Raw genomic sequence first — 11457 nt, 5'->3', positions numbered from 1 at the left:
AAAATTATGAAGCAGAAACATTTGTCCTTGGTGTTTCTGAAATATGTGAACCAAACCCCAATGCCTGCACTTTTACTCTCACAAACTTCTGACATGAGGAACAGATTTTTACAAAATAGCTTAATATAGAAGTCTCGCAAAATGTGCAGATTTCCCCAGATCCCCCAAAACAATGGAAAAGCACTCAGACCACAAGGCCTTCAAGGGAATAACAGAAAGAAGAGGAGAACTTCGGCTGTCACTGTGAATGCCCTGGAATGTTAGTGGAGGGACAGGAGGAGCCTTAGAAGATTTAGGAGCATAATAAGCATAGGGTAGGAAATGTCCATCTGTGGCAGCAAAAGAAGTAAATCTAGGATCTTCCAGAACCAATTTCATTGAAGCGAACTTCCCACATCACATTTTTAAAGTTTCCTCCTTGGCCTTTGCACCTCTCATCTTTGTTATTTGTTCATTATTGCCTATTGGGGTGATGCCTATTATTTTCTCTCTTTTTACATTCCAAAGATATTTCCTTTACTGTAGAACAGGGGCATCCAAGGGAGAATCTCACCACGACCCCAGGTCTAGAGCGCCCGGAGTCCGCCATCCCTGGGAATGGAGGCGGCTTCGGCCTGGGGTCGTGGTGAGATTCGTTGGTGGCTGCGCGATTGTGGCGGAGTTGCAAGCAAACGGGTTTCATCACCTTAAATGGTTTTGAACCAAAGAAGCTGTATTCCCTTAAAAAGACGGACAACCCATCGTGTGAACTATAGAGTTTGTGAACAAATTTATATTGGGTTCATAGTGGCGTCATGCACGCAGACTCCTGCGAGTTCCCCTAAGTTCTTAGAGGACTGCTTTGCCTTTTGATCTGAGAGTTGCAAATTTCCCTAAAGAATGGCCCTTGTGGATAAGCGCTAAGTCAAGAGACAGTGATTGGACAGAATTTGTGAGGAATTCGCCCCCAGATCATGAAAGTCACCCTGAACCCCGCCTCGTGGTGGCTCTGCTGGATGGACGGGACTGCACTGTGGACATGCCCATCCTGAAGGACCTGGCCACCTGGCCTTCTGTGAGGCTCAGTCCATGCAGGAGATCCACGAGAAAGTTCTAAACGAAGTCGTGGGCGCCATGATGTACCACACCTTCTCCCTCACCAGGGAAGACCTGGAAAATTTCAAGGCCCTGAGAGTGATCGTGCAGGTGGGCAGTGGCTACGACAACGTGGCCATCAAGGCTGCTGGCGAGCTCGAAATTGCTGTGTGCAGCATCCCGTCCGCAGCCGTGGAAGAGACAGCCGACTCCACCACCGGCCACATCCTCAATCTGTACTGGGGGAACAGGTCGCTGTACCAGGCACTGAGGGAAGGCACGCGAGTTCAGAGCGTGGAGCAGATTGGCGAGGTGGCCTCAGTAAAGGCTCGCATTCGTGGGGAGATATTGGGCCTCATCGGCTTCGGTCGCACGCAGCAGGAGGTTGCAGTTCGAGCCAAGGCCTTTGCAGGATGGGATCGAGCGGTCCCTGGGTGTGCATAGGGTCTACACCCAGCAGGATTTGCTGTATCAGAACGACTGCGTCTTCTTGCATTGCAATCTCAACGAACAAAACTACCACCTTATCCATGACTTTACTATAAAGCAGATGAGGCAGGGAGCATTCCTTGTGAACGCAGCCCGTGGTGGCCTGGTGGACGAGAAAGCCTGAGCACACATCCTCAAGGAGGGCAGAATACGAGGGGCAGCCCTCGACGTGAATGAGTCGGAGCCCTTTAGTTTTGCTCGGGGTCTGTTGAAAGATGCCTGGAATCTCATCTGCACTCCTCTCACTGCCTGCTACAGCCAGCAGGTGTCACTGGAGATGAGCGAGGCAGTTGCCACTGAGATCCGCCAAGCCATCATAAGTCGCATCCCGGGAAGCTTAAGAAACTGTGTGAACAAGGAATTCTTTGTCACATCAGCGCTTTGGTCCGTAATAAACCAGCAAGAAATTCATCCTGAGCTCAGTGGTGCTACCTACAGATATCTGCCAGGCATGGTGGGCGTGGCTCCAGGAGGACTTCTGCAGCCAGGGAAGACATCATCCCTGGAGACATCCCAGTGACTGACAACCTCCCAACAGTGGTACATCCTTCCCAAGGGCCCTCTCCCAACAGCCCACAAAACACGGGGACAGTCGAGAGCATCCCAACGAGCAATAGCAGAGAATGCCGGAAGGTAATTATTCAGATATACTTGGGAACAGTGAAAAATAGATAATCTAAGAGAAAAAGAATCTGACGGCCTTTTTAGCTGATTCCGGACATATGCATCATTGTTGTTGCAGTGTTAAAACAAGAGCTAGAAAACTGACAATGTCGTCTGCTTACGGAAGCTCTGAAAGACTAGGGTGTGATTTATTAACGCCCAACTTCTATTATTGTGTGTTAAGTTTTTCATCTGTGCATCAAATCACAAAGAATAAATAGAACTTTTCCCTTTATCAGTCCCTTAGGCACAGCAGGTCCTGAACACCCTGCTTATATGTTGCATCAGCAGTTCAAATATGAAAATAAAAACCATGAAGAGGAAATCCGCATCCTGTGACTGGAGTCCCTTCAGTCTACAGGGACTGGTTACCGCTTTTTGCTAATAGGAAGATTACATTACTAGAAAATGTGGAGTAAACTGTTTGCCTGTGGTAAACACCTGCATGCAAAGGATTGAAGACAGTACCGGCTCCTGTACAGAGACGCGTCTCTCACATCTGAGCTGCATATTGAGCGGCAAGTTGGTTGTAAGTTCAGTAAAAGCCGCTGATGATGCAAAAAAAAAAAAAAAAGTATTAAGTTTCACAAGTTGTTAGTAATCAAGTATATTTTCTCAGTTTCAGATCCTCTGCGATTTTATTGAGTGGAAAGTCTTGCGCTGAAAGGGTTCAAGAAAAATAATATTGCATTTCCTTATGTCACAGGAAACACTTTTAATGGTAACTTGTCAGACTATGAACAAACCCACTTTTTAAGATATTGATAAAGTCTTCTTTTCTTCACGTGATATTTTATACAAGTACACTTCAGATGTATTGGATGTGGCTGATTTTAACAAATCCTATTAGATTTGTATCAATTAGTTACATGTTCTATTCATAGTCTTTTGTGAATCATTGCCTTTTTGTTTAAAAAGATGGCCTATTTTGAGCCTTTGTATAAGTACATTCCTGTTTTTGTGACAAAAGAAAAACTTTAAATTTGTCCCAAAGAGAAAAATAATGGCTATCAGAAGTATGCTTTGTTTTAGTGCGAGTTACCGTTACTGTATTTGTGTATTGTAAAGGTGGACATTCTAATTACATTAAAATGTAATTAGAAAAAAGTGCTTAATGAACAAAAACAGAACATAGACAACAAAAGAATATTAGAAGTGATGCATGAAGAAAACGAGATATCAATAAAAAGATTTTTAAAAACCAAGAAAAATTGTGACTCTGAAGAACACAGTAACTATATTAAAAATTTAATCAGCAGTCACAAAAGTGGATTTAATAAAGCAGAAAAAATTAGACAGTTGATAACATTGCACTTATAAATACTGATTCATGAAAACAAATTTTTTAAACAGAATAGAGAAAAAATGAAAATTGGGACTTACTTACAGCACACCACCAAGTGGACCACTGTATTTATAAAAGGAGTCTTAGAAAAACAGTATAGGAGAAAAATAATAAAGAGGATATTTTTAAAAAGTAGCTGAGAACTCCCTAGATGACAAGGTAATTAAACAAGAAGAAATCATGCTAAACAAAAACCTTCAACTGGAATAATTTCACTTCAGAAAAAAAAGTTAAGCATTTCCAAAACAAATAAAAGTTGAGTGTGTTACTGACCACTGGAACACTGCTAAAGGAAATGTAAAAGAAAGTCTATCACGTCCAAAAATGACAATATATGCTGCACAGCGTCATAAAAGCATATGAAAATAGAAAGCTCTCTATTAAATGTAAATACATAAACAGCTATAGAAACCTCTACTGTCATAATGATGGTGCACAAAACTTTCACGTTATTGCTATGGAATTTAAAAAATGAAGCAGAAAGCTGCATAAATATGGGTTCATAGATACTCAATAAGAAAAGATAACAAGTGATATTAATAACAAAGTGGGGGTATAAAGAGGTAAAGCTTTGCATTCCATTGAAATATAGTCATTATATATTGTCATAACTTTAAGATGTTTTATGAAGTCTTTATTTCTCAAGATGATTACAAAAAAACCTGTAGATGGTATGCAGAAGCAAATGAGAAAGAAACTGAATCATGTCACTACAAAATCAATGAAGAAAAATAAAGCAGTAAGAGAAAAAAATGATAAATAACACATCTACAAGAAACACAGAAGACAATTCCAAATAATAATAGTAACTTCATTAACTACAGTAATTACTTCAAATACAAAAAGTTAAATACCTTAAACAAAATGCAGAAAATGATTTAATGGATTAAGAACAAAGAAGATCCAGCAATGTACTCTCTACAAGAGTCATTTTAGCTCTAAGGACCCAAATAAGTTGAAAGTAGCAGTATAAAGAAAATATATTTTATGCAAAGAGTAGCTACAATTGGAGGGGCATGGTCATAATTATATTAAACAAAATATATTTTAAGTTAAAAATTTTAAAAAGAGACAGATTGTTATTAAGTAACGGTGACATGGATTAACTTGCAAGAAATCCATAACAATAATTTAGAAATCATATATATAATTTGAAAAATCTGCAAAAATATACCATTGGGATTTTGATAAAAATTACATTAAATTTTTATATTACTATAAATAACACTGATATCTTTCTTATTTTTTTTTTTGGAGATAGAGTTTCTGTCTCCCAGGCTGGAGGACAATGGCACGATCTCGCGATTGGCTCACTTCAACCTCCACCTCCCAGGTTCAACTGATTCTCGTCTTTCAAATATGTAAAACCAATATTGACAGAAGTCAAGCAAGAAATATATAGCAACACAACAATTGCGGACTCCAAGACTCCACTTTCAATAATGACTAGAATAGTCAGATGTAATATCAGTAAGAAAGCCAAACCTGAACATTATAGACCTAACAAGCATTTACAGAACTCTGCGATCGAAAGCAGCAAAATATGCAATATTCTCAATCACACATGGCACATTCTGTTAGGATACATGTCTTATTAAATTTAAGAAAACTGAAGTCATGCAATGTAAATGAAACTAGAAATCAAAAGCAAGAAAATGTTTCAGATACGTAAATAAGAGGAAATTAAGCAAGATCTTACATATAGTCTTGCTCAAGTGTCAGGTGATTTAATATTGTTAAGATGTCAGGGCCGGCACGTGACTCATGCCTGTAATCCCAGGACTTTGGGAGGCCAAAGTGTGTGGATCACTTGAGATCAGAAGTTTGAGACTAGCCTGGCCAACATGGCAAAACCCTATCTCTACTAAAAATACAAAAGTTAGCTATACATGTTGGTGCATGACTGTAATCCCAGCTACTCTGGTGGCTGAGACTGGAGAATTGCTTGAACATGGGAAGCAGAGCTTGCAGTGAGCACAGCTCACACCACTGCCCTTCAGCCTGAGTGACTCACTAAAACTCCATCTCCAAAGGAAAAAAAAAAAGTTGTCAGTATTACCCATGATGATATAAAAATGTAATGTAATTTTCATCTAAATCCCAATGGTATTTTTTTTGCAGAATTTTTGTGTATAATTCTAAAAGTTGTTTAGGAACTGTGACTAGGCAAACACCCTTTAAAAAGGACAAAGAGTTATTACATTTTCTGATTTAAAATCATGATACAAAGCTACAAAAATAAAAACAATATGGTATTGCCACAAAAACGGATACATAGATGATGAAACAGAATAGACATCCTGGAAATAAACCCTCGCATACGTGATAAAATAATCTTCCATATGCTTTCCATGACCATGCAATAGAAAAATAAGAATCTCTTTAACAAAGAATTTTCAAAATTGAATGTTTACAGAGCAAAAATAAAGTTGGATGCTTCTTTTGTATTATACATAAAAAGAAAAGTTGTTTTATAATGGATTTAATGCTTAAACATAAAAACTAATAAAATTCTTAGAAGTAAACATAGGGGAAAAGTTTATGACATAAGTCTTAAAACTTTGCTTAAGTATGACATCAAATTCATAAGAAACAAGGAAAAGAACAAAAAAGAAAGGAACTACATTAACCTTCAAGTATTCTACACATCAAGGAAAAATTTAGTGGCATACAAATGTCACCTAATAAGTGGGTGAAACCTGGGCATGCTGGCTCATGCCTATAATTCTAGAAATTTAGGAGGCCAAGTCAGAACGATCATTTGAGGCCAAAAGTTTGAGACTAGCCATGAAAATATATCAAGACCCTGTCTTGTATAGGGTAATATATGTGCATACATACATACATATAACAAAAAAGTGTAAAAATATTTTCTAATCACATATTTCGTAGGTGTTAATTTCCAAAAGATATAAACTTCTAAAATTCAACAACAACAAAATGTTAATAACTTGATTTAGAATGGTAAATGTTTGAAATGACCTTTCTCCAAAGAAGACATAGAAATGACTAGGTATTTAAAAGGATACTCGTCCGAGGGCAGGACTATGGGAGGCTGCCCTGTACGGAAAATAAGAAGAAATGGCAGTAAAGAGGGCAACCATCATTCCACCCAGCCCAAAAGGAATAAGAGAAACCCTATCTTTCAGGATTCTCAAGACACAGTTTTCATGGAGTGATAATGAAAGGAGCAGCAGCCGCCTTAATATCCCAGAGAGAGCAGGTGGACCAGAAAGCAACTTAAACCAGATTGTTACTGAACCCAATGCAAACTTTCCCCAGTTCTTGCATGAGGGGTATGTACCATGCCAAGGTCTTTACTCCCATATCAACCAGACCTTGAAGGAGGCTCACTTCAACAGCCTGCAGCAGTGAGGGCAAGCTCCAACATGATGAATTAGGACTTCCTTATTCCAACCTAAACTGTGTTTATAAAAGTAATTGCATACAAACTAAAAAAAAAGTCTATTGGTTTTTAAGTCTAAATTTTAAGTAACAAGTTAATGGGCAGTAGTTTAATTGGGGTTTTACTTCACTGCTATACTTTTAAAGGGGCTGTGAATAAATGTTTATGAAATTAAAAAAATAAAAAATAAAAGGATACTCGACATCACTCTTCTAGAAAAATGCAAAGCAAAGTCACAATAATCTACGGCCTCAAGCCGATATTTAAAATAGTATGACAGCTCTTCAAAAAATTTAAAATGAGATTATTATATAATCCAGCAAACCCCCTTCTGGCTATGTACTTAAAATGTACAACGCAGATCTGGAAGAGATATTTGCACAACCAAATTTATTGCAATATTATTAACACAAGCCAAAAGGCAGAAACAATCCAGATGTCCCTTGACCAATGAACAGATTAATAACAAGTGGCACATACACAAAGTCGAATATTATTCAGTCTTTAAAAAGACACATTATATGATAATTCTGGAGAAGATCATGTTAATTGAAATAAGCCAGGAACAAAGTGACAGTCTATGATTCCATTCATAATCAGGTATCTTAAGTAGATAAACTCATAGGAAAAAAAAGTTAGAATGGTGCTTGTCAAGGACTGAAGAGATGGTAAAATGGGCAGTTGTTTTATTTTTTATTTTTTTATTTTTTTTATTTTTTTAAATTATACTTTAAGTTTTAGGGTACATGTGCACATTGTGCAGGTTAGTTACATATGTATACATGTGCCATGCTGGTGTGCTGCACTCACTAACTCGTCGTCTAGCATTAGTTGTATTTCCCAATGCTATCCCTCCCCCCTCCCCCCACCCCACAACAGTCCCCAGAGTGTGATATTCCCCTTCCTGTGTCCATGGGATCTCATTGTTCAATTCCCACCTATGAGTGAGAATATGCAGTGTTTGGTTTTTTGTTCTTGCGGTAGTTTACTGAGAATGATGATTTCCAATTTCATCCATGTCCCTACAAAGGACATGAACTCATCATTTTTTATGGCTGCATAGTATTCCATGGTGTATATGTGCCACGTTTTCTTAATCCAGTCTATCATTGTTGGACATTTGGGTTGGTTCCAAGTCTTTGCTATTGTGAATAATGCCACAATAAACATACGTGTGCATGTGTCTTTATAGCAGCATGATTTATAGTCCTTTGGGTATATGCCCAGTAATGGGATGGCTGGGTCAAATGGTATTTCTAGTTCTAGATCCCTGAGGAATCGCCACACTGACTTCCACAATGGTTGAACTAGTTTACAGTCCCACCAACAGTATAAAAGTGTTCCTATTTCTCCACATCCTCTCCAGCACCTGTTGTTTCCTGACTTTTTAATGATTGCCATTGTAACTGATGTGAGATGGTATCTCATTGTGGTTTTGATTTGCATTTCTCTGATGGCCAGCGATGATGAGCATTTTTTCATGTGTTTTTTGGCTGCATAAATGTCTTCTTTTGAGAAGTGTCTGTTCATGTCCTTTGCCCACTTTTTGATGGGGTTGTTTGTTTTTTCTTGTAAATTTGTTTGAGTTCATTGTAGATTCTGGATATTAGCCCTTTGTCAGATGAGTAGGTTGTGAAAATTTTCTCCCATTTTGTAGGTTGCCTGTTCACTCTGATGGTAGTTTCTTTTGCTGTGCAGAAGCTCTTTAGTTTAATTAGATCCCATTTGTCAATTTTGTCTTTTGTTGTCATTGCTTTTGGTGTTTTGGACATGAAGTCCTTGCCCATGTCTATGTCCTGAATGGTAATGCCTAGGTTTTCTTCTAGGGTTTTTATGGTTTTAGGTCTAATGTCTAACTCTTTAATCCATCTTGAATTGATTTTTGTATAAGGTGTAAGGAAGGGATCCAGTTTCAGCTTTCTACATATGGCTAGCCAGTTTTCCCAGCACCATTTATTAAATAGGGAATCCTTTCCCCATTGCTTGTTTTTGTCAGGTTTGTCAAAGATCAGATAGTTGTAGATATGCGGCATTATTTCTGAGGGCTCTGTTCTGTTCCATTGATCTATATCTCTGTTTTGGTACCAGTACCATGCTGTTTTGGTTACTGTAACCTTGTAGTATAGTTTGAAGTCAGATAGTGTGATGCCTCCAGCTTTGTTCTTTTGGCTTAGGATTGACTTGGCGATGCAGGCTCTTTTTTGGTTCCATATGAACTTTCAAGTAGTTTTTTCCAATTCTGTGAAGAAAGTCCTTGGTAGCTTGATGGGGATGGCATTGAATCTGTAAATTACCTTGGGCAGTATGGCCATTTTCACGATATTGATTCTTCCTACCCATGAGCATGGAATGTTCTTCCATTTGTTTGTATCCTCTTTTATTTCCTTGAGCAGTGGTTTGTAGTTCTCCTTGAAGAGGTCCTTCACATCCCTTGTAAGTTGGATTCTTAGGTATTTTATTCTCTTTGAAGCAATTGTGAATGGGAGTTCACTCATGATTTGGCTCTCTGTTTGTCTGTTGTTGGTGTATAAGAATGCTTGTGATTTTTGTACATTGATTTTGTATCGTGAGACTTTGCTGAAGTTGCTTATCAGCTTAAGGAGATTTTGTGCTGAGACAATGGGGTTTTCTAGATATACAATCATGTCATCTGCAAACAGGGACAATTTGACTTCCTATTTTCCTAATTGAATACCCTTTATTTCCTTCTCCTGCCTAATTGCCCTGGCCAGAATTTCCAACACTGTGTTGAATAGGAGTGGTGAGAGAAGGCATCCCTGTCTTGTGCCAGTTTTCAAAGGGAATGCTTCCAGTTTTTGCCCATTCAGTATGATATTGGCTGTGGGTTTGTCATAGATAGCTCTTATTATTTTGAAATACGTCCCATCAATACCTAATTTGTTGAGAGTTTTTAGCATGAAGGGTTGTTGAATTTTGTCAAAGGTTTTTTCTGCATCTATTGAGATAATCATGTGGTTTTTGTCTTTGGCTCTGTTTATATGCTGGATTACATTTATTGATTTGCATATATTGAACCAGCCTTGCATGCCAGGGATGAAGCCCACTTGATCATGGTGGATAAGCTTTTTGATGTGCTGCTGGATTCGGTTTGCCAGTATTTTATTGAGGGTTTTTGCATCAATGTTCATCAAGGATATTGGTCTATAATTCTCTTTTTTGGTTGTGTCTCTGCCCAGCTTTGGTATCAGAATGATGCTGGCCTCACAAAATGAGTTAGGGAGGATTCCCTCTTTTTCTATTGTTTGGAATAGTTTCAGAAGGAATGGTACTAGTCCCTCCTTGTACCTCTGGTAGAATTCAGCTGTGAATCCATCTGGTTCTGGACTCTTTTTGGTTGGTAAACTATTGATTATTGCCACAATTTCAGATCCTGTTATTGGTCTATTCAGAGATTCAACTTCTTCCTGGTTTAGTCTTAGGAGAGTGTATGTGTCGAGGAATTTATCCATTTCTTCTAGATTTTCTAGTTTATTTGCGTAGAGGTGTTTGTAGTATTCTCTGATGGTAGTTTGTATTTCTGTGGGATCGGTGGTGATATCGCCTTTATCATTTTTTATTGCGTCTATTTGATTCTTCCCTCTTTTTTTCTTTATTAGTCTTGCTAGCAGTCTATCAATTTTGTTGATCCTTTCAAAAAACCAGCTCCTGGATTCATTGATTTTTTGAAGGGTTTTTTGTGTCTCTATTTCCTTCAGTTCTGCTCTGATTTTAGTTATTTCTTGCCTTCTGCTAGCTTTTGAATGTGTTTGCTCTTGCTTTTCTAGTTCTTTTAATTGTGATGTTAGGGTGTCAATTTTGGATCTTTCCTGCTTTCTCTTGTGGGCATTTAGTGCTATAAATTTCCCTCTACACACTGCTTTGAATGCGTCCCAGAGATTCTGGTATGTTGTGTCTTTGTTCTCATTGGTTTCAAAGAACATCTTTATTTCTGCCTTCATTTCGTTATGTACCCAGTAGTCATTCAGGAGCAGGTTGTTCAGTTTCCATGTAGTTGAGCGGTTTTGAGTGAGATTCTTAATCCTGAGTTCTAGTTGAATTGCACTGTGGTCTGAGAGATAGTTTGTTACAATTTCTGTTATTTTACATTTGCTGAGGAGAGCTTTACTTCCAACTATGTGGTCAATTTTGGAATAGGTGTGGTGTGGTGCTGAAAAAAATGTATATTCTGTTGATTTGGGGTGGAGAGTTCTGTAGATGTCTATTAGGTCCACTTGGTGCAGAGCTGAGTTCAATTCCTGGGTATCTTTGTTGACTTTCTGTCTCGTTGATCTGTCTAATGTTGACAGTGGGGTGTTAAAGTCTCCCATTATTAATGTGTGGGAGTCTAAGTCTCTTTGTAGGTCACTCAGGACTTGCTTTATGAATCTTGGTGCTCCTGTATTGGGTGCATATATATTTAGGATAGTTAGCTCTTCTTGTTGCATTGATCCCTTTACCATTATGTAGTGGCCTTCTTTGT

The 11457-nt window shown here is 38.3% G+C and overlaps 2 pseudogenes across 1 annotated transcript; both read left to right on the top strand.

The window, feature by feature from the left end:
• The first annotated feature begins 321 nt into the window (after window positions 1–321).
• On the top strand, window positions 322–3431 carry MGC70870 (C-terminal binding protein 2 pseudogene; annotated as a pseudogene). The gene has a single exon (NR_003682.1). The product of NR_003682.1 is annotated as a C-terminal binding protein 2 pseudogene (transcript).
• Window positions 6604–7150, top strand: LOC100287188 (VCP nuclear cofactor family member 2 pseudogene; annotated as a pseudogene).

This window comes from Homo sapiens (genome assembly GCF_000001405.40).
Source record: "Homo sapiens chromosome 17 unlocalized genomic scaffold, GRCh38.p14 Primary Assembly HSCHR17_RANDOM_CTG3".
NCBI lineage: Eukaryota > Metazoa > Chordata > Mammalia > Primates > Hominidae > Homo > Homo sapiens.
The sequence above is the reverse complement of the archived record's forward strand: the minus strand, read 5'-3'. Positions and strand labels throughout refer to the sequence as shown.